The sequence below is a fragment of the Homo sapiens genome, chromosome 18 (genome assembly GCF_000001405.40).
Source record: "Homo sapiens chromosome 18, GRCh38.p14 Primary Assembly".
Classification (NCBI taxonomy): Eukaryota; Metazoa; Chordata; class Mammalia; order Primates; family Hominidae; genus Homo; species Homo sapiens.
Genome location: NC_000018.10, coordinates 27,919,967 through 27,947,781, shown reverse-complemented (window position 1 = coordinate 27,947,781; position 27,815 = coordinate 27,919,967). Strand labels below are relative to the sequence as shown.

At 35.9% G+C, this 27,815-nt stretch overlaps 1 protein-coding gene and 1 long non-coding RNA gene across 2 annotated transcripts in view, besides 2 other annotated features; one reads left to right on the top strand and one right to left on the bottom strand.

Moving 5' to 3' along the window:
• The window catches only part of CDH2 (cadherin 2), a 244,252-nt gene extending 229,349 nt beyond the window's left edge, over positions 1 to 14,903 (top strand). Inside the window, exon 16 of the mRNA XM_017025514.3 lies at positions 14,658 to 14,903. Within this exon, the coding sequence (XP_016881003.1) occupies positions 14,658 to 14,690 (33 nt within the window). The 3' untranslated portion in view covers positions 14,691 to 14,903. The remainder of the gene's footprint in view (positions 1 to 14,657) is intronic.
• CDH2-AS1 (CDH2 antisense RNA 1) overlaps positions 1 to 26,188 on the bottom strand; it is a 42,099-nt gene extending 15,911 nt beyond the window's left edge. Inside the window, exon 1 of the long non-coding RNA NR_199051.1 lies at positions 26,034 to 26,188. This is a non-coding gene — a long non-coding RNA (CDH2 antisense RNA 1). The remainder of the gene's footprint in view (positions 1 to 26,033) is intronic.
• Positions 23,532 to 26,841: an enhancer, noted in NCBI's record as "VISTA enhancer hs1636". NCBI's record gives its function as "enhancer in: forebrain[5/7]" and the evidence as "EXISTENCE:transgenic organism evidence [ECO:0001131][PMID:17130149]".
• Positions 25,306 to 26,505: an enhancer, noted in NCBI's record as "BRD4-independent group 4 enhancer chr18:25501241-25502440 (GRCh37/hg19 assembly coordinates)". NCBI's record gives its function as "activates an origin of replication core promoter dependent on BRD2, P300/CBP, MED14 and CDK7 cofactors, and independent of BRD4, by STARR-seq in HCT116 cells {active_cell/tissue: HCT116}" and the evidence as "EXISTENCE:reporter gene assay evidence [ECO:0000049][PMID:35650434]".

Sequence of the window (27,815 nt, the reverse complement as noted above, 5' to 3'; positions counted from 1 at the left end):
TATACTTATATCACATATACTTACATCATATACACTTATATCACATATGCTTACATCACATACTTATATCACATATACTTACATCATATACACTTATATCACATATACTTATATCACATATACTTATATCACATACTTACATCACAGTTGTCATATAAGCATGTGTTTGTTTCCGGATCTTCTATTCCATTGACCTTTAAATTCCTGTACAATACTCAATTTTTACACTAAATTATCAGTTCTGAAGAAGCCTCTTAAAATTTCTTACGTTCTTTTTTTCGCATTTTCTCTTGTGCATAAATTGTAGAATTATTTTGTGAAGTTCCATAACAAATTTTATTCAAAATTTGATTGAATTGTGAAAAGCTAACAGTTTCATTTACTATTCTATCCAATACTATAATATTCTCACTTTTCACATTGTATATACTTTCATGGAATTTCACTAAACATCTCATTTTATTACACTCTAATAATTTTCATTGCTATTATGAGTGGGCTCTACTTTTTATAGCATTTTTTCTAGTGATACTTTACTGCTCTGTTGGAGATTTATCAACTTTTATTTCTCCTGTTACTGTCTTATTTTACTGTTGTATTACTTTTAATAGCTTTTTGGCGATTCTCTTGGATTTTCCTGACAAACAATCATAACGGCAATTAATGACAGTTTTTTCCCTTTTCCAAGATGAATAGTATTTTTTTTTTCTGTACCATTAGTAGCAGTGATCATTACAAGCATTGTTTTATTATTCCTGACTATAATAGGAAGGCTTTGTATGTTTCACGATTATGCATAGCATTTAGTATAGATACCAGTTTATACTTCACTTACCTTGAAATTTTGTATGTACATGTTGAATTTTATAACACTTTCTTCATCTACATAGATGATTGTGTATTAGCCCATTAATAAGAGTGAATTACATCATTAATGCCATTAGATTTTCTAATATTGAATTGAACTTTCCTGGAATAAACCTACTTGGTCATAATGTTATTCTTTTAATGGGTTGATATATTTTATTTGCTGCTATATTACTCAGGAATTTTAAGTTATATGTGGTTATCTTATACTTTGTTTTTTCAATATTTTGCTCAACGTTAGTCTTAGGCTTATGCTAGCCTACAATAAGTAATTAGGAAGATTGCCATTTTTCCTATGCTCTGGATTATATACATCACAATGAACTCTCCATTAAAAATGCTCAAATTCTCCTACAATTTTATCATTTTGGGGATAGGTTTTCTTCAGTAGGAATAGGTATAATTCTGATATTGCACTTATTTTTGAACATGTTTCACAATTTACATTTTCCTGAAAAGTCTCTTGCAGAATCTAGCTTTTAAAAAATGTATCAATAGAAAATTCCATACAGTATTATCTTCATAAAATCTGTATCATACCTTAGGTTATGTTTTCTTTCTCCCTTTTTTCTTTTTTACTTTTTTCTTCATCAGGGTAGTCAAATATTATTATTCTATTAAGAGAACCAGCTTTATATTTATCGATACAGAATATTTATTCATTTGGTTATTGGGTACACATTTCTCCAAGCCTATTAATTTGTTTTTCAGATACTAATGTTTTACTTCCATTTGGTTTATCAGTTCTTGAAAGGGATTTATTAACATTTCCCATGAGCTTTTTGGATGTATTTCCAGACCATGATGATATGTGCTTAAAACTTGGATTGTAACTTTTACCAGTCCTTGCTCAGTAACTTTCAGTACCTTCAGTTCTAAATTCCACATTATTCCATATTAATATAGCCATACCTGCTTTCTTTTGCTGATTTTTTGTTTGTTTAGCCAAATATGTGTGTGATTTTAGTCTGATGTAGCATGTCCATCTCTTCATTGTTAATAACTTGAATAATTTTTCCTTCTACATTTTAAACAACATGTATGTCCTAAAACTTTCATTTCAATGCCATTTTCAAACAGACACTGTAACAGTGGATTGGTAAAACATCAGTCCAGACAATGATTTGATTTTTGCAGTTTACCTCCTTTTAAGCCAATAACAATCCTGCATTTTGAGTTGTGACCTCAATAAACTAGGCTCTCACTGGTTGTTCCCACAGCTCTTCAGGGTATCTCCAGGTCACCAGCGTGTTAATGGACCCTGATGGTATTAAAAAGAAGAGACATTCAACAACCAGGCTCCTTTTCCCTCTCATGTTTACCGCATTGTAGCTTTATGTTTTGATTTAAAAGTTTTTTCCTTACTGGGGGGAGAAAGTATCATTTTTCATATTCAAAGGAAAAGTTGGAAGACTAACTCATAAGGAAAACTGGAAGACCTTAGAGTTCATGTGATCCTGAACTGTCACTTTTTTGACTCATACAAGATGACTTTGAGATCATACAAATATAAACTACCTGACAGTTATTATCACCATATCCTTAGCAACAACAAGCAAACAGCAAAAAAAAAAAAAAAAAAAAAAAAAAATCTTCCTTCCTGGAAAGTATCAGTTGATTGACCCCCATTATGAAAGGACTCAGAGGGGAGAAAGCAAGAGCACTTCTCTTTTTTTTCATGCAGCAAATTCAGTCTTACGGGTCTTGCTTTTTCATTGATCGTCAGTACTTCTGTAAGGTTTGTAGTAAGAACTCACACATCACCATTTTTTCTGCTTCTTAGCCTAATTAAGCACTGGGTGGGTGGAAAAAGATGATGCTACAGCAGCTAAAACAAGTTTGAGAGAGATTATTTGTATATTTAAAGCAATTCCAGTACCTTCAATTTCTAGTACAACAAATGGATATGCTAACGATAGGTACAACTTAAAATCTGAGAATATATATTTTATGATTGTTTTAGCAAAAACTAAGCCTACATGAGAATTACAGTTTTTTTAGACAGGGTCTTGCTGTGGCACCCAATCTGGAGTGCGGTGGCATGATCATAGCTCACTGCAGCCGCCTCAAACTTCTTGGGCTCAAGACATCCTCATACCTCAGGCTCCTGAGTAGCTGGGACTAGGGTGTGCCTGGCCTTTTTTTTTTTTTTTTTTTTTTAGAAAGGAAGTCTCACTATGTTGCCAAAGCTGGTCTTGAACTCCTAGCCTGAAGTGATCCTCCACTTCAGCCTCTCAAATCACTGGGATTACATGCAACATGAGCCACCACACCTGACCTGATATTTTAAGTGCCCACTCTTGGATGAGGAGGCAGAAGGAGGAGAAGAGGTGAAGCCTGTTGATTAGAACATGTTTGTGAATCAGAAACATGATGGGAGACAGACATCCTTTGAGGTATTCTGTTACTGTAAGCCAACATATATTTGATATATTAGATTCATTTAATCAGGTTTTAAACTTTGGACATGCTGACCTCGAGTAATTCAAAAAAGTATTCATATATTCAGGAATTCAGGAATTAATGGCTAACTTAATTATGAAATGGATGTCAGCTTCTACAGTAATTTACTTGATCTTTCTCTGCAACTAAGGAACATTGAATAAAAAACTGCAAGTTTAAGAATGTTGACCTTTATCTTGTAGGTTAATACATATATATTTATCAGTGACAGCTTATTTTTCTAGTTTCTACTTTGTGAGAAAGGTAGTTTGCATATTGAAATTTTAGAGTTTGCTGCTTTTTTCTAATAGTTTTTTATTATATATGGTAAAGACATTTTGTTAACATCCGTGGTCAGCAGCAAAACATTGAATGAGAATATTTTTATTTTCATTTTAAATCGCTTTTATATTCAGAGGCTGATACTATTGTAATAATTTTTTTGTTTCATTTTCTCCTGTTTTATCTCCATCTTAATCTTTAGGTATCTAAAAAAGCATCAACCACCACAGACTGACGGAAATGTTTTCCTTTTGTCCCACAGTTTTTTCACCTGGAATACCTAGTTTCATACCACTGCACTAGTAACTCTGCAACCTTTGGAATAAATAAAACTAAATCAAAGCCTCATCTCTTCAGGCCTCATGTGAACAATATAAATTAAAGTGGACCTCTTTTGTGGTTGTAGAAAACATGGCCTCAGAGACTGCGTTGAACCAAAACTATGGCCAGTCTTGTGTAAACCCCTACACAGAAACCCATCCAACAACATGGATGGATTTTATTAATACTGAGTTCTTTCCAGGTGCATAGATACTGGGCTGTGGACTTGGCATATTAATTCATTTAATATTTATAGTAATTACTTCATCACGTCTTATAGACTCATCATTACTTCCCACATTTTAACAATTCTAAGATCAAGAAGCTGCATACAGTTAATAGCGTTACCCCAGCAAGGTGCTGTAGTTGTGTGAAAACTTTACGTTGATGCTTTTTGGTAACATCAGTAAAGCACTAGCATCAGAGTGTCTGAGTCTATGAAATACATATTAAGGTATATAAGGTCACTTTTATTTTTCCTGATTTCTTGAGATGGAGAAGCTCTATTAGGAGAAGTTATGTGGCTTGTCCACTGACACTGAGCTAGTCAGTGGCAGAGCCATGATTTATTAAGCCCAACTGTCTAGCTCCAGAGCTCACACTTACTTATCTCTAGAAGACACTGAGTGAAAAGACAGAGGGCTGAGTGAATAAAAGAAAGAGTGGCTCTTTTGCATAGTACCACGTGTGTATTAGTTGAACCACATAGGATCGCCATTTTGGGGTGTTCAGATAGTCAAATATTTATATACCTAAATTAAATCTTTAATTTAGTTCATTCTAAACTCTACGAATGAATCACATAATTTACAAGGAACCATAATACCCTGTGAAACACAAGCATAGAAGTGTGGGTGTGTGGTGGGGAAGGAGATGAATGGGAGACCTCAGGACAAGAGGAAACTTTTAGAAAACATAATGGTTTATTATACTCACTAAGTTCCTTGACTGCTTGCACCAAGACTGACACATTCCTAGCGTTCTTACTCATCAGTCTCTCCAGGGCCTAGAAAGCTGCCAGGCGCACTCACACAGCCACTATGGACAATCTCGTTCATACACAAAACAAGACCTACCTACCATCTCTGGCCGACATGTTTCATTTTCCAGTTGTAAGCTGAACAATTTTGGAAATCAAAGTAACATTTCCGGGCTCTGGGGGAACATGTAGTCTGCTAGCAGAAACTCATTTTCTTCTCCACTAAGAAAGATGAATCTTTTCTTCTGTTTCTTTATGCAGCATAGCTTGGATAAAAAACATTTGTTTTTCTAATATACTAACTCTTGGCCTTCCAGAGCACTGCAACATCCTCAAGTGCCTTGAGAAGAAATTAAACATGGCCAGAGGTACAGACTGGTATGATTCTCCCTAGGTTCAAATCCCACCTGTGCCCTTTAATGGCTGCATAACTTCAGATAATTTGTTCATTCTCTCTGTGTCCTTGTCTGTGGAATAGGGGACACCTGGAGCATTGTAACCACACCATTACAAGTTAGCTATTGTTATCTATTATTAGGAAGACATGTTCATGTTTATCTACCTACCTATAATTGTTACACTATAGCCTTTTATAATTTACAAAGAAAGAAAATGTTTCACTCTCAAAAAGCTTTTTAAGTTTCAGGTTATTCTCATATTTTTTCAAACATTATTTGAAAAGACTTCAGACAGAACTTCCATAAGAACTTTGTAATTCTAACATACATATTCTTTTTGCCCTTCCAGTATACACACTTATGTGGGTAAGAGAGTTTATCCTACCTCATAAAAAATAAAAAATCTAAGTTTTCTGCATTCCAGGTTTTGAACTTTTTACCATTATTAAAAGCAGCATTAAATATGTTTTATATAATTTATTTGGCCCTTATAGTCAAGTTTATGGAAGTAGAATTGTACTTGATTTCTGGTCCCAGTTTCCAGAATGCTTCAGCACCTGTTAACTTTGTTTCCTTAATTGCCAGCTCTGGAAGAATATCCAAGTACATCCAGGAAACTTGGAAACACAGAAATTCTGAAAATCGATTAAATTGCCTGGAAGTGATAGATCCTAAAGAGATCAAACTTTATTACTCTGGAGATTTTCCTTGTGGACTTTGGCATAAAAAGTGCAGATTTAATAACTCAGCTATGTTAGCAGAACCATCTATTTTAGCCTGGCTCACCTAATTCTATATCTACTTTCTAATATTTCCCTTCTTAATAGTATCATTCCTCTTAAACCCTTTGGCTGCATGTATAGGAATCTTTCAGAAATTAGGTCATCATGCAACATTAAACTTTAATAACTGGATATACAGGGCATAGAAGCAAATATATCTAATTGCTTTCGTTAATCAGAATCACATTCTTTACAAGAACTTAATACCAGTATCATCAAGTTTATGAAATCATTTAGCACAACTGAAGAATGTGAAATGAGACCATTGATGTGAAGGTATTTTATAAACTGGAAAAGGCTGTATAAATGTTAGGTTTTAAATATTAAATCAATAACTTGGAAAAATGGCATATGTATCATAAAAAAGGTGGGACTTGGCCAGGTACGGTGGCTCACACCTGTAATCCCAGCACTTTAGGAGGCCGAGACGGGCGGATCACGAGGTCAGGAGATCAAGACCATCCTGGCTAACACGGTGAAACCCCGTCTCTACTAAAAATACAAAAAATTAGCTGGGCGTGGTGGCGGGTGCCTGTAGTCCCAGCTGCTCGGGAGGCTGAGGCAGGAGAATGGCGTGAACCCGGGAGGCAGAGCTTGCAGTGAGCCAAGACAGCACCACTGCACTCCAGCCTGGGCGACAGAGCGAGACTCCTTCTCAAAAAAAAAAAAAAAAAAAAGGTGCTACTTAGATTGAAACCTCAGCTATGTATGTATGTATCTCTCCTACAAACTAAAAGCCAATACTTAGCTATCTCAGAATGTACTGATGGCACAACCCAGAGAAACAGGTCAGAGATGGAGCTATTCATTTGTTCTTTTGTTCCAGGATATGTTTGCTTGTTGATTTTGTTTTTCTTGCAGTTGCAATAATTTATTGTAATTATGACTTCTTAATGGTGAGACAAAATTATTAAATGGTGTGACAAACTGCTATTTTGTCCTTTGAAGGATACTGTCTTTTACTGTTTTTGCATGTTAAATTGATTCTTCTATTGTCAAACCTTATTTCTCACGTGACTAGTCCTCTAGGAAAGATGCAATATGTGAATAAATCATGTAGTGACCTTGAAGAATGGAGGAACTATAATGGGAGCCAAGGAGACTGAAGTCACTCATTAGTCTCAGGGTGGAAAAAACATGGCTCCTCAAATGAGCATAAAACAAAACTATTGTCCAAATAAAGCACAAGAAAAAGCTCCAAAGAGTTGGCAAGGGTTCTTTACAATAAGAGGCATCCAGGAAGGTGGAAGGACTTGATGGATAATGGTTGAGCTTATTGGCCAGTGATCCCTAAACTTACTACATATTAGAATTTCTAGGGACCTTTTGAAAATACTGCCTGGCTCCCACACCAATATACCCAAGACCACAGTCTGAGCAACTGAACCCGCCATGCAGGATTACCCAAGAGAAGAGCGAGTCTGGATTTGCCTAAAAGTATTGTTGGGGTCTCATCTGATTTAGACAGTTGGTAACCATATGGAGGAACACTAATTAAGAACCTGTCCCAGGATGGGCTCCAAAGGAAGCATACTGAGATTGAGATTAGCGTGCAGAAAGTTTATCATGAATAATTTAAGGATTTATGTTTGTGGAAAGAAAGGGAAAGAAGCCAGATTAGGTAGAGGGAGAAGTTGGGCTGCCATGAAGTGTCAACAAAGGTTCTCAACTGATACCTGAGGAAACTAGAAAACTATATTGGTCCTTCAGGGTGGTCCCAAATTGAAGCCCAAGGGTGGGGTTGCAGACACGCCTATATAGCCCAGTATAGATATGCCACTGGATGTGTGCAGCCCTAGGAAGGTTTTAGCCTTGGGAGGCAACCCTAGAAGAGGGCTGACAACTGAGGGCCATCTGCCAGCAGTACTATCAGAAATGGGAAAGCACATTTTTCAGTTTTCCAGAAGGTCCTGAGAGGCACACCATAGTGCATGCTTATTAATCTGTTTTTAACTTTGGTAACTTAGCCATTTAATGTTGCAGTATAGTAAAAACAAAATTAAACCACATAGTATAAGAACTCCCAGGAAGGAAGTCTTTGTCTAGGGAATGACTAGACAAAGAAGTCCTTGACTTATTGGGAATGAGGCAATGTGAAAAGAGGTGAGCTCAAGGGCCACATCTGCAACGCACAGGAAGAGTGTGGAGGTGAATGAAAGCAGTGATGCCTAAATAACAGCATGGGAAAGTTCGACATCAGGCCATTTTACACTCACTTTCAATGTGTCTGCAGTGCTGGATAAAAACCACCCCCTCCATTTCTACTATAAAGGTCACGTAGGAGGTTTTGGGGGTTTTGTTTTGCTGTTTCTCCTTTCGTGTGTTTCTAGTGCATTGTAGAAATCAGGTAGAGATTCAGCAGGAATATTAGTGCAGTGGGGAGTGACAGATTGAAATAGAAGTAATGTAGCTCTTAAGGACACCAAGACCCCAGGCTATCTGAAATTGCAGTTATTTTTATGACTCCCAGGGTTTACCCACAGTGATTAGTTCATCTATGGAAGAACATGTGTGCTTGATTTGGTAGCTGCAAGGAAGAAAACGTGGGGAAACTCACTAGGCCATCATGTAGAGCCAAATTGAGAGGAAGGAGCCCAGGAAATAAAAGACATGGGAAATGCAGAATGCATTCCCAAAAACACACAGGAAGAAAGAAAATTCATCTGATCCAGAAGGCCCACAAACATTCTCCTGACAGATAGAGATAGGTACTTTGTATAAACTTCTAGGGATATATTTTTAAAATGTGATAGCATTCTTTCTACCTAGACTGTAAATATTATACCATTTGAACATTTGAATTCCTTGCTAAAAATACTTTTGCTTTCCTTCGAATATCCCAATTTAGCAGGCACGATTTGCTTATACCTGCATGCTTCTATACCAGTTAATTGGCGTGTATTGTCTTAAATTCTGCTAGATTACACACACAGAAATTAAGCGATGCTATAACACTGTGCTGTTCAGTACTTGATGGTGAGGTGATTTAAAAAAAATGTAGAGGTTTCACTTTCTCAAGATAAGGGAAATATCTAGAACATAATCAAGTATAACTTACTAGAGTGAAAGGGTATAGTATAATTATTAATAATTCCTACTTAATAGTCACAAGTAGCATCTTTTAAAACTTGCTTTAATTTCAGTGCTCTCAAAAATGCTTTTGATTGAAAAAGATAATCCAAAGGTTGATTCATTTTGTTTTCCCATAACATTTTATCACCTTAAAATGTTGATGTCAGAGATAAGAATTATCTATTATAATTCACAATGATACAAGTGTATGAGGACAAACATGGTCTATAAATATGGATAATATATTCAAATTATATATTCAATTTATGAATACTATGTGGGTGGTTTTCAAAAGGTATGCTGTATAAGCCCATTCTCACATTGCCTATAAAGAAATACCTGAGACTGGGTAATTTATTAAGAAAACAAGTTTAACTGGTTCACGGTTCTGCAGGTTGTACAGGAAGCATAATGCTGGCATCTGTTTGGCTTCCGGGGAGGCCTCAGAAAACTTACAATCTTGGTGGAAGGCGAAGGGGGAGCCAGCACTTCACATGACCGGAGCACAAGGAAGAGAGAGATGGGGGCGGTGCCACACATTTTCAAACAAGCAGATCTCACAAGAACTCACTATCGCGAGGACAGCAAAAAGGGAGGTGATGTTAAGCCATGAGAAACCACCCCCACGATCCAATCACCTCCCACCAGACCCCACCTGCAGCATTGGAAATTACTTAATATTATATTTGTATGGAGACACATATTCAAACCATATCATATGCCTATATTTTTAAAGAAGTTAAAAAAATATTTTGGTGTTTTCAAAATTAAATAAAAACTTGCCTCACCATTCATAGCGGATGATTTTCTGACTATCTGGAGCTGCATAAAATCTTTCTGGAATGAAAAATAAATTATTGATTTTCTTGAGAACCTAAAATAATTGACCATTAGTTCAATTTATGTCGAAGAAAGCTTGAAATGTAGTTCCTACATCCTTGGCTCACTTATAATCCTACCATTGTGTTGTGCAGCTCACAGGCCTTTGAGAGAAATAGGGAAGAGAATTTAGAAAAGAAAGTTAGATTAGAAGATTGAGTGTGTAGGTTATTTTCATGTTATTCAGAGGTGCATATCAATGGTACCTGAGACCCTAAAATGGTGTATTAAAACGAACAAAGGGATAAATTAGCCTAATGTCATAACAATAACAATCTTTTATTTTGCACATGTTTTTGTTACTGATATGCTTTACAGAAATTATCTAATATGATCCAAACCTCAACCTGTCTTACCGGTGAGTAAACTAAGGTTCAAAAAGTATATATGTAAGTTGCCTAAAATCACATAGTAAATTACAGAGTTTGGAAAAAAAACTTAGTCATGTCTAATTCTACGATCCAGATTTTGAACCGCTACATTTTCTTTTAAATGTCTTTATTTTAATTATAATAAAATGTTCATAAAGATGGATTTTTACCTCTAATATAGCAAAATTTCAAACTTCAGTTGTAAATTTTGCATGTTTTGGTAAAATTTCAAGCTTTTAATGTATTTGAAAGTTGACCCCACAATTTCAATTCTGTTAATGTTCCCAGAAAAGAGAAATAAAATGAAATTTGAGGATGTTGGCTATCCTCATATGAAGTTTACTCATATTTTGAATATGAATGAATGTAACTATTTTGCTTGCACATCTTTTTACCAGCACATTCAGTTGGCATTACTAAAGTTTCCTTTTGAATTAGAATATCTCTAAAACTTGAGAGTGTTTTACTTTCATAACAAAATGCCAGTCTCCTACCTCAAGTTTTTTTGAGCCCAGGCAGAAATAACTGAAGTAATTCAAAAGGGAGGAGAGGGGCGGCACAGTGGCTCAGCCTGTAATGCCAATCCCAGCACTTTGGGAGCCAAGGCAGGAGGATCACTTGAGCCCAGGAGTTTGAGACCAGTCTGGACAACACAGTGGGACCCCATCTCTACAAAAAATAGCATAAAATAATTAGCAGAACATGATGACACATGTCTGAAGTCTCAGCTACTCAGGATGCTGAGGTGGGACAGTGGCTTGAGCCTGGGACATTGAGGCTGCAGGGAGCTGTGATAGCACCACTGCACTCTGGGCTGGGTGACAGAGTGAGATTCTGTCTTGGAGAAAACAAAAGGGAGGGAGGGGAAAACAGTATAAGAAAGAAAAATACATCAGCTATGAAAGTGTGAGTGAGAAATAGATGGTTTTACTTATTAAAAGGAATCTGTAGGTAGTCAGATTCACAGAATAAAGGATGCTGTGCAGTGTAGTGAAAGAGAAAGGTTTTCAGCCAGGAGCCCTGCATTTGTGTCCCAGAATCGTCAGTTACTCATGAATATGCACCATGGCATCCGCATCCTTATCTGTACAATGAGCATATAACAATGTCTGCTTGTCTATTTAATTTAAAAGGCTATTATGAGAGGCAAAAAGGAAAAGGTATATAAAAGACCTTTGTAGAATGTAAATGTATATAGATATTAATTTTGATCTTCTAACCTTGACTGATGGTTATCACAGCAATTGTTCATTAGTGTAAGTCTAAGCATTGAGTCTATCCCTTCAACTCTGTCTTCTATTGTCAAGAAGAAGTGAAATGAAAAACATAAAACCAAACACATCTGGACTTCCCTTGATGATCTATTTTCTGTCAATATTACAGTTGTGTTTATAGTGCAACAGAATAATATAGCAATTCACATAAATCAATGAGTGCAAGTTTTAGTGAAGCCTTCTTAAAAGGGCTTTGTTAAGTTTAATCCTTTAAATGTGAAATGAAAAAATAACTTGCTTTTTAATTCTTAAGAGACAAATTTAGTTGCATAAGAAACTATAATGAATAAAGAAAATGTATTTCACATTGTACTTTAGCCCAGAAAGATAGCCATTGAACAATAGAGACTGATTGGACATCTGTTGTGTGCCAAGCACCATGCTAAGCACAAGTCTATAAAGGTCATTAAGACTTGTAGTCTGCCCTCAAAGACTTTCTGGTCTAATGTAGAGATAAGTCATGTGGCCAGACACTACACAAGGCAGTACCATAGTGGAATGGACCCAATTCTACTGGAGCTATTGAAATGAATATCTGACTTCATCTGGCCTACCCCCTTGTCATGGTGATATGGTTTGGCTCTATGTCCCCACCCAAATCTCATGTCAAATTGTAATCCCCAGCGTTGGAAGTAGGCCTAGTGGGAGATGATTGTATCATGAGGGTGGTTTCCAGTGGTTTAGCACTATCCCCCTATGCTGTCTTGTGATAGAGTTCTCATAAGATCTGGTTATGTGAAAGTATGTAGCACCTCCCACTTCACTCTCTCTCTGTCTCTCCTTCCAGCCATGTGAACATGTGTCTGCTTCCCCTTTGCTTTCCTCTATAACTAGAAGTTTCCTGAGGCCTCCCCAGAAGCAGAAGCCTCTACAGCCTGAAGAACTGTGAGCCAATTAAGCCTCTTTTCTTTATCAATCACCCAGTCTCAGGTGTATCGTTATAGCAGTGTGAGAATGGACTAATACACATGGCAATACTTACTATGAGTGTGGAAGGCTAAGTTTCCCAAACCCAAGGGGGAAAAAAGGAACATTCACAAAGGGAACAGCATAATACAAAAACATCAAGGTGTGATCTCAAGGCATGTTCTGGGAATGGTCAAGTAAAGCACTGGAGGGTAGAGCAGCAAGGAATGAAGTTTGCTGGAAGTTGGGGCAGTTTCAGATCATACTCAGACCTGTGTAGTATGCTAAAGAATTTAGATTTTTATGTCTTGGGTTATAAAAAGCTGAGTAGGAATTTGAAATAAAGGAAAGATATCATCAATTGACATTCTTGAGTAGTCACAGTGGTAGTTCTATGGAGTCTGCCGGGCCCAAATAAAATCTTCCACTTGCTTCCAGTGCAGACACGACTCTGTTCCAGACTCTTGTACCAAATTAGTTAATTGATTAGTTAATTTAATTAATTACTGGTTCCAAAAATCCTGGGGTCAAGGACCAAAGAAAACACAGCTGTGTGACTATTTCATTGTATGTTAATATTAATAGGATGTTTCAATGCTTACAGAGATGATGTTTTATCTAATAAATGTATTATTAAAATTAGTATATTGCCCTTTAAGGGAGATGCTGGTTTAGAAAATAGCTGATCTTTAGGGCAAGAAAGGGATATCCTGCTAAAATAGAAAAAGTTCTCTGAAAGAAAATCCTGCAGTATCAAAGAGACAATAAACCACTCTGATTCTGATAGAGAAAGAAATCTATTCCTTGCAGTAATGGAACCTTCATTGGTTTGAAAAGAAATCTGTACCTCAAAGCAAAAATGGCACTCAGATTGCTCTCAGAATCATTTCAGAAGGCAATATGGAGTTAACTGACACAACCTACTGGCTAGTTTGACAGACATCGATACAGACAGCAGCATAAACGACCTAAAATGGAAGCCGACAGAACCAGGAAGGAAAACAGACCTTAGAATGACCATATGCATGTGAATGTGTGTGCTTCAGCACAACTGATATAAGTAAAGAAAATGGTATTAATAGAGGAATCATAATAGTATTTGGTGTATTTTATCCTACGTGTATTTGTTAGAATGAAAAGAATATAAACAGGCCAGTCATCTCACTATTTCACAGTTGTGAGAGAAAAACTGTATTTACTGGCTGATAACATATTTTCTTTCTTTAATTTATGTTATTTCAGTGAGACTGTTCACATGGATCTCAAATAAGCTCTTCAATCAAAGCTACCTAAAATTATCACCATTTGCTAATATACCATGGCCTTCAAGTCAACAAGTTCTGATAAATACTTATCGGGTTTGGAAAGTCTTAGTTAGGTATAATTTCAAATTTCTTAGAAAATATGCATTGAGGTGTCATGCCATTTTGTTTAAATCCCAAATACGTGAAGCTTGCTTTTCCTGAAACAATCATTGATTCATCAGTCAGTTTCATAGCTTAGTGACTTCGGGCATCCGAAACGGGTTAGAATTACAAGATGTTTAATCTCTCAAAGTAAAAGCCACAATGTTGGGCCTCAAGACTACTTTTCTTCTAACATAGTCAATATTTCTCTCTCTCCCTCCTTTTCTCTCTTTCTTTTTTTCCAACCTAAGAACTGGAATTAAGTATATTCAAACAGAGAGCTACTTATTGTAGCAAAATCATAATATTCAGGACATGCTATAGGGGTTCAGGAATAATACATATTATGATTTATATTGGTCATGTTGATGACTAAACAATTATTTCACAACATACCTATACATTTTATAGATGAATAGTTGAAAGTAAAGAGGACCTATTTCCATAAAGGCCGGAGTATATGATTTTGCTGAATATGCTCTTGAACCAAGATATTCTTTTGATTAAATAAATAAATTCCCTTTATATATGAAGTTGATCTTAGGTACAATAAGGAGGACATGCATTTTGGTTTGGTTTATTTAATATTACCATCAGTATACCTCCTGTTTAATGGTATGTGTTAATCCAAAAAAGAGATAAGACTTGAGATGCTGGCTTTTCATTTTTTTTCTACAGAAAACCTGGCCCATAGAGAGCTTACACCTATGACCTTGGCTTCGTGGGCACCATGATCTCAGCAATGCATCTATCATGCCTGCCTTTGGACCTAATGAGTATGAACCACATTACATCAGAGAAGAGTGCCAGGGTCAACAATTAATATTTTAGAGTTACAACTACATGTGAACCTATGTACTTGCATTTTCAGCAATATTGCAGCATAGTATTATTTATCTCTAAAATAAAAAATGCATGAATATATTATCTGGCTTCCTAGTAAATATGATTCCAAGTGGGCAAATATTATTAATATATCTGGATCATAAGCAGTAGGATTTAAAAGGCATGATTACAAGCCAAAGCCAAATCTAACTTTCCCTTAAATACAGCTCTAGATTTATTTGAATGATATTTAATTGATCATTGATAGATACTAAAAATTGATGAATAGAAGTGATCAACCTAATTTATCTCTTTGGTAAGTCAAAACTTCATATAATTAATATAAGAGTTAAAATCAAGGCATCTTGTATTGCTTTCAAAGGTCCTCCCACCATTTACATGGTTTACCACAGCAACAGCTATGTTTGTCTGACATGATTCAGCTTTCAGGCCAAAGTATATGCAGCTGATCCTAGTTTGACTCTGAAAATATGTAGTTGCAAGCAAGGCTTCAACTCTGTCATGCTCATCTCTTAATGAAGGCAACACGAACATGGAGTTATTCAATAGCCATTTTCCATCATATGAACTGAACAAAAAGAGCTGGTCTGCAACTGGAGACTCAGCAACTGCACAGAGACGCAGAAATGATAGGAGACAGCTGAGTTTTTCAAGGCAGGCAGTCCAGTGCCTCTTTCTCAGACATTCCTCAGTGCCAACCCCATTGCTGTGTATAGCTTACAAAAGAGAACTCTAAGTCCTTGCACTAAATTGGACTCTTTGCTTAAAACTATTCAGGTGATTTTTTTAAACCTATGACCACAGGAGTGCTAAGAAATATAAATAGGAACCAAGAAGTATTCAAGAGAAATCAAGAAAGGTTAATTGGTTCATAATCCCCAGAGTCTGGCATAGGAATTTCTTGCAAAATGAAAAGTAAATTTAATTTAAATGTTTGATTTATGTACATAATACCAGTCAACTGTCATAAAGGGATGGTAGAAAAGTTTCTAGTAAACATAGTCTCTCTTACATAAGAAAACCAAAAAATAAATATGTCATCTGACAAGGGAAAGTCAGATATTATGTTAACAGTTCACCCAAACGAAGGCATGTCAGTCTGCATGTGGGGCAGGTGGCATTAATTTCTTAGAATAAGCAGATTAAAATGAAATATAAATTTGATTCTGCTTCATTTGGGGAAGACGAGATAGTGCCTAGCTTGAAACAGAGGCACCATATGGAGATAAGCATAGGCAATGAGAAAGAGACGTGAAGAAGGCACTTTGCCAACTATTATGACTTTTAATCTGTTTGCCAATTGTGTCCTAGATACCTCTAAAGGCCTTACTTTTTTACCTCTGAGTTTTCAGGCTACAGCAAGAATATGAATATGTATAAAGGGGGATAAATGATTCAACTAAGATTTATTCTGTTAGCTAAAGAGAGCTAGAGCCAATTTCATATTTGCATTTTTATCACCACCTCTTTAAATAAGATTACATAAATTCAAAATTATCTAGTTGTTTTCCAAAACTTTTTTGCATCAAATTTTGAGTTAAATTTATATTTGAAATAATGAAAATCATTTTTCTGGGCCATTACTCTTTTATACTTATGGTATTTGGTAGAATCTTTACGTTTCTGTTTTTGTCATACTTTCTCAAAGAATATTGACCGTACAATGGATATTTTGATTTCTAAATTGAAGACTTGTGGTTGGTTAATGTCTACTCAGTGACATAGTAAGTAACTCAATGAGACATAGTAAGTTAACTGGTTCATACATCTAGCACAAATGGATCAAGTTTCATGTAACCAGAAAACACAATGAAATAGGACATCTTAATCCTTCAATTACTGTGAATAATTGAATTGACATTATATTTTGATATTTTTACATATTCATTAGATATACGTGTGATTTTCTGTCACTTTCTGGGCTGACATTGTTGAGAACTCATTAACAAACAAATATTGACCTTATGAACTGAATTTGAAAATGATACATGAAGAGTTACAAAGATGTTATCAATTTTCAAGATCTTTGCTTCAGGAAATTACATCTCAGCTCTTCACTCACTGTTATTTTTATAAACAAAAAGAAATGGTTATTGCTGGTATAATTATAGGATGCACTTCAGAGACTGATATTGTTGCACAGTGAATAAGGCACTACATAAATCAGAACTTTAGAAACAGGCAAGTTTGTCATGTTGCCTCAAGAGTACTTGTGGGCATAATGCCCTCTCCATGTGAACAACTCACTCCCATTATTGTTAACAATATTTTCTCATATAGGTATCTCAGAGAAGAAAACCATTTTCCTTTTATTGGTTGCCATTTCCATATTTCTGAGTGAGTGCCAGCTCTTTGCAGTTTAAAATAAAAATACTAATTTACATTTAACTAAAACACTGATTTAAATGTGTACAAATCTCCCCATAACAAAATGATGAGCTACTTAAGACTAACTATACTAGTTTTAATGTGAGAAAAACGATGATGCCTAATTTTGAAATGTTAGTGAATTATTGTTATTTAATTGCTCTTCATGAGCTCAGCAATAGTACCACTTCCCTATAACCAAGTAAAGAATATCTTATAAGCTGCAAAAATTTTTTACTGTATTTTTTATAAAAAGTAAACCTCAAATATTAAGCAACTGGTGACACGATAAACCAAAAAAACAAAGGTCCTATCATCTCCACTCAGGTCTTAGGACCTAAGGACCTAAGTACCTAAAAGAAATGAGATTGGTAGTGTCAAACCAATCCCTATTAGATATCAGCTAACATCAATATACCATTACACATAATTCACACGAAGAACAGCCAACTAAAAACAACTTGAGGATTGTTGTTTTGGGGACATAAATTGCTTCATCAGGTTCTTATGATTGAAAAAGATGATTTCTTCAAGTCAAAAGGAGTATTAATGACAGGCAAGTGCAACAGTTAAAAGGACAAAACAGAAGCTCACTGCAGTGATGGAGAAAAGAGAATATTTGCTGAAATTGGGGAGTATTTGTAAGCATAAAGAAAAATTGGATTTTAGGTAACTTGTCACTGGTAAAATGATGATGCATGATATGGCTGAAAGGCAAACACAAGGTATTGAAGGAGCAATGAGTTGGTAAAATAAAGGTATCAGAAATAAGTATGCAGAGGGATTATATTCTATACCCATAGAGTTTGTTCTTGATCACAAAAGCTAAGACTGTAAAATATCTTCAGCTTACTACTGCTTAAGTCACAATTTCTTCAACTGAGGAAATAATAATAATAACCATACATTTCTGTAGCATTGTTCTGAGTATTAGATGAGTTAATATAGGTGAAGCATTTTGGACAATGCCTCAAATATACAGTAAGAATTCAACAAATATAGCATGTGCTATTTTTATTATTATTATACTACTTCTTTATGAGAAAGAGAGAGCTTGGAAAATGACCACTTTCCACATGAGCAGCCCCTTACATTTATATCAAAAAGTGATAACATATTATACAACACTTCCAAGAGTGTATACGACTCACAATTTGAATGTATTGAATTACTTCTTTTTTTAAAGAAAGGCTTACTTCCCCTTTACTAAGAGTTAGGTAAATATCAATATCTAATCAAATTCAAAATTAAATATTTGTCTTTAAAAGTGTCCTTACAAGCAGTGGGTCATAGTGTGTCACTTCTCTCATATTCCTCAAAGCCTCCTGGAGAGGCCTACTGAAAATCTAAGCATTTTAACTTTGTAGGAAACAAACGGCTTTTTTGGGGGAGACAATAGCATCCTTTTATATTGCCAAAAATGATGCAAATATTTGCTCCTTTTGAAATCTGTTTTCAACAAACATTTTTGAATAAAATAACTGATCTGGGCACTAATGATAGGAAGATAAATAAGGCATGGCATATGGCATCAAGGAGTTTACAGTATATTTGGGGAAACGAGTGTATGAAACTACCTAAAATCGAAATTAGATATTGACAAGTGATTAGATCGAAGCAGAAATACATTGCTTCAGGAACACACAGTTGGGGTATCAGTCTCTGCTGGTCATGGATGGACAAAATTTTACAAAGAAAATGCTGTCTTATGGATATGAATGGGAGGATAATTGGAAATCAAGACTTGGATCACAGAAGAATGATAAAGTCTAAAGCTAAAGATTTAAAAGACATTAATATAGGAGATAATAGGGGTCAGTGGAGGTCATGGCTACAGATAAAATTACCCAAAGATATATTAGAAAACAAAGAATAAATCTAGACAGAATCCCTAATATCTGGTATAAATTGATTAATGGATCTTTGTCTTATTTCATGCAGAGGACCTGAGTGCATAATAAGGTTCATTTTGGCAGATTTCACTTTTGGTAACTGCAAAGTAGTTAATATAGGACTAACTTTCCTTTATATAATGATTCTAAACTATAGGCAACTATCAGCACTGGGGACAAATCAAAAGCAAGCAAAAACTGGAGAAGGATTGGTCTTTGAAAAAGAAGAGCACTAGGTGAGATTTTGTTTATGTAGCATTTTGCTTGAGGACACATCCAGTCCCATGCCTGGAGCCACTTAAGCATAAGCAGAAAGCCTTGGTCTTATTCAAGAAGTCAGAGGTTAGGAATCAGGACTGCCAGATGGTAGAATACTGAGAAGTCCCAGGTCAGAGGAACATGTCACAAAAATGTGTGAATAAACTTTGCTGATCTAAACATACACAGGGAGTCTCTAAAAGATTAACTAGAATTAAGAACTGGAAGAATGAGAGAAAGTTTTGTTTCAGCTATTGTTCATCACAGGAAGAAGGGAATTTAGAGTATAATAAATTGCTTGCTAGAACAAAAATAAATACATTCAGAAGAGTATAACAGAATCCAGAATCTCTACCACGTATCGTCCACAATGCTCAGTATATAATAACAAATTACTAGATATGCCCCCAAAACAGAAAAAATGTGTCACATAGCCCAGAAAAAAGCAATTAATAGTACTCAACTCTCACAGAAATGAGATATTGGAATTATTGAACAAGGACCTTAAAGTAGCTATTATAAATATGTTAATGTTTTTAAGGAAAAATGTGGAGTAATACATTAACAGATGGAAAGTATGAGAAAGAAGCAGATAGAAATTTTAGAATTAAAGATACAGTATCTGAAATAAAAAATGTCCTGATTGGCTTAATAGCATATTAGAGATGGTAGAAGAGTCAATACGCTTAAATATAAATCAATAGGGAGTATATAATTTGAAGAACAGAGAGAAAAAAATTTAAGAAGATTCTCCGTGGCATGTGGGACATCAAGTGGTCTAACATATATGTCACTGAAGTCCTAGAGAGGAGAGACAGAAAGGGTCAGGATATTTTCCAAGTTTTGTGAAATATGTAACTTGCAGATCCAGGAAACTCAGTGACCCCTAAGAAGTTTAAGAACATAAAATTGCACCTAGACACATTGTAATAAAACTTTTGAAAACCAACAATAAGGAGAAACATTTTGAAAACAGGTAGATTAAAATGACACATTGTATACAAAGATATAAATTAAGGTCAACTTTCCTTCAGGAACAATGTGAGCCAAAGACAATGGAACATCTTCAAACTGCAGAAAACTGCAATCTGGCAATCCAGAATTCTATATCCAGTTGAAATATTCTTTAAAAATGGAGGTTTCCACTTTAAGTTAAACAAAAGACCCTCTACCTACAGAAAAAGTATGGCTTGCTGAAGGCTTAGATGATCGTTAGCATTTTTTGCAATTAAATATTTTAAAATTAAAGTATGTACATTGATTTTTAGACATAATGTTACTACACACTTAATAGGCTACAGTATAACGTAAACACTATATTGATCATAGAGTTAAATGGAAAAGATAAAACTATGCATATTCTAGAAAGCAACATATGAGAATAGCTTTACAGTAGGCAGGAAAATACTTCTTAGATACAGAAAGCAATAACCACAAAAGGAAAAAAATGACAAGCAAGCTACATCAAAATTAAAATTTTCTACTCATCAGAAGATTGTGAAGAAAATGAATGGGCATACCAGCCCAGAAGAAAATATTTTCAAAATATGTGAACAAATAACTTGTACACAGAGTAGATAACTCTCACAACTCAATAATTAAATGACCAGAAAAAAATCCAAATGGGCAAAAATTATGAATAGACAATTCACAAAAGAGGACAGCCCTGGCTAGCCATATGCAGATAACTGAAACTGGACCCCTTCCTTACATCTTATACAAAAATTAACTCAAGATGGATTAAAAACTTCAATGTAAGACTAAAACCATAAAAACCCTAGAAGAAAACCTAGGCAATACCATTCGGGACATAGGCATGGGCAAAGACTTCATGACTAAAACACCAAAAGCAATGGCAACAAAAGCCAAAATTGACAAATGGGATCTAATTAAACTAACGAGCTTCTGCACAGCAAAATAAACTATCGTAAGTGTGAACAGGCAACATACAGAATGGGAGAAAAATTTTGCAATCTATCCATCTGACAAAGGGCTAATACCCAGAATCTACAAGGAACTTAATCAAATTTGCAAGAAAAAAACAACCCCATCAAAAAGTGGGTGAAGGATATTAACAGACACTTCTCAAAAGAAGACATTTATGCGGTCAACAAATATGAAAAAAAGCTCATCATTACTGGTCATTAGAGAAATGCAAATCAAAACCACAATGAGATACCATCTCACGCCAGTTAGAACAGCGATCATTAAAAAGTCAGGAAAAAACATGCTGGAGAGGATGTGGAGAAATAGGAATGCTTTTACACTGTTGGTGGGAGTGTAAATTAGTTCAACCATTGTGGAAGACAGTGTGGCGACTCCTCAAGGATCTAGAACTAGAAATACCATTTGACCCAGCAATCCCATTACTGAGTATATACCCAAAGGATTATAAATCATTCTACCATAAAGACACATGCACATGTATGTTTATTGCAGCACTGTTCACAATAGCAAAGACTTGGAACCAACCCAAATGCCCATCAATGATAGACTGGATAAAGAAAATGTGGCACATTTACATCATGGAATAGTACACAACCATAAAAAAGGATGAGTTCATATCCTTTGCAGGGATATGGATGAAGCTGAAAACTGTCATTCTCAGCAAACTAACACAAGAAGAGAAAACCAAACACTGCATGTTCTCACTCATAAGTGGGAGTTGAACAATGAAAACACATGGACACAGGGAGGGGGAACAGCACCCACCAGGGCCTGCCGGGGGTGGGGGGTTAGGGGAGGGATAATATTAGAAGAAATACCTAATGTAGATGATGGGGTGAAGGGTGCAGCACACCACCATGGCATGTGTATATCTATGTAAGAAACCTGCACGTTCTGCACATGTACCCAGAACTTAAAGTATAATAAAAATAGAAAAAAGAAAAAGAAAAAGAGGACAGCCAAATGGTGAAAAAACTAAAAGTAATAAAGGAGTTTTGTATTTAATTTCATTAGTCTTCAGGCAAATGAAAATGAAAACAATAATGGGATACTATTACATTTCTTTTAAAATAACTAACAATAATAAAACAAAATATTGAAAATGTTGGTGAGGATGTGGAGTAACTCAAAGTCTAATACATTGCTTGTGGGAATACAAAATGGTGCAGCTACTTTGGAAAACACTGTGGCAATTTCTCATAAACCTAAACATTCATTTCAACATAAAATCCAGAAATTATACTTCCATGTCTATGTCTACGTACATCTCTACATCTACTTCTATGTCCATGGCTGGCTATCTGTTTATAATCTGTCTTCCTACCTTGCTATCTAACAACATCTTTATATACATATGTGTGTATAATCACTTGTTACCTACAAAGAAAATATAGAAACTTTACAGTGGAGAAAGCTTGCAGACACCACCTTAACCAAGTGGTCAAAATTAACATTACCAATATTGGGACAACCTGAAGTCGTATGCTTCCTGACATGCTGCACCAGAAAAGATACAGCAGCCTCATTTTTGTAGTATTCCTGGCAAAAAAAAAAAAAAAGCATAACCTGTGCTTAATTACAAGAAAACATTAGACTAAGCCAAATGTGGAAGGATTTTTTGCAAAATAACTTTCCTGTATTCTTCAAACTATGAAGATCAAGAAGGACAAAGAAAGGCTGAGAAATAGCTCCACGTTAAAGGACACTCAAGGTGACATGATAACTATGTGCAACATGTGATCCTTGATTGGATTCTGGACTGGGGAAAATAGCTGTAAAGAACATTATTGGTACAATTGATGAAATTTAAGTATAAACTATTAATTATTTGTTCATATTGTATCAATATTAAATTTCCAGATTTTGATCATCTTACTGTGATTTAAAGTAAAAGAACGTCTTTTTGATGGGAAATTCACACTAAAGTATGTAGAAGTTAAAAGGCATGATGTCTCTAATTTACTCTCAAATGGTTAAAAAAACGTTTGTCAGTGAGAACACTTGGACACAGGAAGGGGAACATCACACACCGGGGCCTGTTGTGGGGTGGGGGGAGGGGGGAGGGATAGCATTAGGAGATATACCCAATGTAAATGACGAGTTAATGGGTGCCACACACCAACATGGCACATGTATACATATGTAACAAACCTGCACATTGTGCACATGTACCCTAGAACTTAAAGTATAATAAAAAAAAGAAAGATAATTGATGAATTGACTTTAAAAAAAAGTTCATATATGTACAGAGAAATGGAAGAACAAAGAGATGGTAAAGCAATTGGGATAAAATAAAAACCATTTTTAAAATCCACATAAACATTTATGGTTTTGCGTATACTAAACTTGCAAATTTTCTACAAGTTCGAAATTATAAAATGTTACCCCCAAAGTGAAATAAACATGGATTTTCATCTATCTTGTTTAGCCATCCATACCTTGCAGAAGACTGACTATAACAAATCCAAGAGAACATCATTATGGGACAAGGTAGTTCTTTCCCTTGAAGGGCAGTTGTAATAGTAAGTCTCTCCATTGATTCATTTACACATCTGTTTAATAAGCATGAAGTTAGGCTCTGGGAGTACAAAACGGAATGATATGCATTGTTTCCTACTGAACGGGGTGAGTGAATTGAATGAGCCAAGCCAGAAAACAGGCAATGAAAAAAAAATGTTTATAAGCACTAATAGAAAGGTAAGTAGAGGATATTGTAGGAGCAAATAGGAGTAACGAAGCCCTCTGTGAGGGTCTGCAAAGGTTACCCCAGGAAGAAACACCACAGCCAAAGCCTGAAGGACACAAAAGTGGGTAAGAGGATATGTACCAACAAGACAGATGGAGAGGAGGTGTGGTACTACAGGAAGAATTCAGGTAGGTGGAACAAGATGAGCAAAGGTAAGCAAAAATATGGCACATTTAGTGAACTGAAAATAGTTCCAAGCCCAGTCCCCGGAATCCCTAGGTTGTCGGAACATGCCAAAGTAGAAACTACTGTTGCCCTTGTTTGGCAGAGTAAAATAAGTCCATGCTCTGGAAAGATACTCTATAGTAGTCTGGGGTAGAGTCCACACCCTCTAATTTCACCATCTGCTCACCCTTAAAACAGTTCAGAGTACATCTCTATGAGGCCTTATTTCCTCCTTGTCCCTCATATCATTTCTGTAGCTATCTTTATCAAGACACATTACACTGTATTATAATTATTTGTTTCCTCACCAAATGCAAAGTCTCAAAGGTAGGAATTACAGTTCATTCATCTATGTTAGCAGCTCATAGCAGGGAACCTGGCCCACAGTAGGCACTCAACACCCAATACCAGTCTTTCCCTTACTCCATGCCCAGTGTATAAGTAAGTGACATATACAGTAAACACATTCCCCTGATCATTAAACAGCAGGCTGATTTTAGAATGTTCTGTCTTGTTTGTTCTCAAAAAACAATCAAAATATTTCAGAAACTCCAACCTGGCATCTCTGACACGTTTTGCAATGTGAGTGAACACAATGTTTTATTGTCCAACCATGTGTACCATTATTTTTTTCATTCAGAGAACGAGTTCACCAAAGTATACGCCACGCTGCCTTCAGGCATTCATGCCTAAGCGGCAGGAATTAATTGTGAGAATGTTCTGCCCAATTGATACCATGCTGTGGTTGCTCAATACTTATTTAAAATATCCACAAAACTTGCTTCTTTGCTTTGACATTTGAACCAGATATATAATGTTGGGCAAGTATTTTGATTCCCATACATCTACATGCCAAAGCTGAAAAATAAGGGACCTATTTTTCCCTCAGAAATGCTTCATGCCTGTATCAAAATACCAAGTTACCATGGTGATAGCTACTCTTGTAAATAGGGCAACTCTACCCCCCTATAGAAGCAAATGTAACACAAAAGGGAGGCAAAATAAGCTCTGAAATAGGGGACAAAAGAGCCTCGGGGAAAAATCTCCAAAGAGAACGAGATAAAGCCTGTTTCAGATAAAAGTCTTGGAAGGTGACAGGCATCCCCCATTGCTCCTCCTTAGAGACCATAGCATAAGCAGACAGGGGTAGGACCTTGAATATATGTGGCGAGGGGATTATGCAGTGCCCACACAGGGAGGTGGTGTTTGCTGAGCACAGAGAAACTGAAGTATTAATCATCACCATAATAACTAACATTCGCTGAGGGCCTATTCTGGGCCAAGCACCATGCTACAGGCTTTATGTGCACTAACTCATTCCACCCTCATAACACTTCCGTGAGGTAGATCGTAAGGCTATTAAGGAGACAGGCCGGAATTCCACGTCGTGCACTTAATCTCTTCACTGTACTGCCTGAAGAGTCATGAGAAAGGAATTTGAAACACCAAAGGGGGAGAAACTGGCTCTATCTTTATCTTTAGAATCAGAGTATGAAAAAGAAAGGAAGCTGATGATCAGAAAAATCAGGCCGGATCAGAGCTCCCGATCGCCCTAAGCACCGTCTAGTCCCGGGAATGGCCAGCCAGTCTGGATGGGAGAGGACACCCGCAGGGGAACCCCGGGAGCAAGTTATGGAGAAAACTCGCCGTCAGGGCAGGAGAGGAAAAGCTTCTGCCAACCGATTCTTTACTGAAACTGAGGGGTGTGTGCATATCATTTGTTTATTTGGGTGAAAGTAGCACTGGCTCTGCTCCTGTTGACTCTCAGCTATACGTCTTCTTTAGTGAACTTGTTAGCCATTTCATTTTAGTAAAATTTCAACAAATTAGTACCTTCAGGGGGATGACCTTGTGGCTTTCACGGCCATCTTCTTCACCTGTTTGAAGCAGTCTTGATTTCCTGCTGCCTCTAGGCTGCTGGCTGTGTGAAGAAAGGGGAAGCTTTCATAGGAAGCCTTCCACGCAGGCTAGAAGAAAGGTGGGAACTCAGGGCAGATTTTGGGAGATGGTGCTGAAAAAGGCGGGCCTACCGTGAGGCTCGGCCCCGCCCTGTGGCTGAGAGGACTCAGAAAAGAGCCCTAGCTTAGCAGAAACAGAATGGCTCTCAGAGACACATTCGGGACAGCAAACCTTAACCAGCCTTCAACGTTGTACTGCTAGGAATTATAAAGTGTTGTTTGTTAAAATGTCAATGCCATAACTTATGCAGACAAATGAATATTGTCCCTCAAGATAGGTTCTTTGGAAGTTTATATGCTCATTTTAACAAAGGTCCCATTGGTGCAAAGTCCTTCTTAAATGTCCTGTGGAGCAGTAGCAATCATTTGTAATCATGCCTCATGTTTAGCTCAGAATTCCATTAACCAGATTCAGCACCCATTTTAATCACTATACCAAATGCTACGTAACTTTCTTTTTGAAAATCAAACCCACTGTCAAAGAACTAAGGTTATTCTCTGAGGATTTTCCTGAATGTGTTGTAAGCTCTGAGTACAATTCCAAAAGAGGAACTCCAAAAGCATTTGATGAAGGGTCAGCATCAATGGGAAATGTGACCTCTAAAGAGGACTGCTTTAATGCAGTCTGTACTCACACGGGCGTGTATAATTTGGTAGACTTAAAAGCAATCAACTCTCTTGGAATAATGTCCTAAATAATGAAAACAATATAAAGCAAATTCATGGCTAATTGTACTTTTCTTGTGGAAGAGTTTTTTTGTGAGTTTGCTTTAATGCAAACTTTTCAATGGAGACTTTGCTTTTGGAAACCATATTATTGAAGAAAAAAACTTACAAAGAAAATTCAGACTTGCATTCATTCAAACTTGTGGAATTAAACATGTTTGCCTACATCAATCAGTATTAAATTCCTCAAGGAATAACTTCAGTGATAAAACTGTCATCAATTACTTTGATCCATGAACTCATGTGTAGTCATTTTCTAGGGACATCCAGAGCCATGAGCCATTGTGTTGCTCGTGGATATTCTGTGGTCCATTTTGTGCATTTAGTTATATGCACGTTGACTAAAATTGTGTGCATCTTATTTAAGCAATATGTTAGTTTTTTGAGAGTATCGCATTATCTACGAATGCTAATCATCTGGGAAGGAGTCTGAAATTTTAAGCATAATTAGTCAAAAGCAAAACTATGAGTCAATTACCAACACAAGTAATAAAAGTGAAATAAAATATGTTTTTCTTTATTATTACTGTTCCCCTGATATATATATATATACCCTGATATATATATACATATATATATACCCTGATATATATATACATATATATATACCCTGATATATATATACATATATATATACCCTGATATATATATACATATATATATATATATCATTCATTTCTTTATATATATATATAATTTTGGCTTTTCTATAGTTCTTTGCTATTTGATATAAAAATTTTGATTGATAATAAGGCTTACCCATGGCAAATTTAACTGGATCAATATTTGCATGATTTAATTTTATCTTAATTGGGTATCTTGAGACTCACTGCAGGTTTTTTTTTTTTCTCAATATGTGCCAAGAAGTACTCTTTCCCATTTGTTCTTCTTAAGATTGTATCCACAGGCAGAAAAAAAAAAAAATCCAACT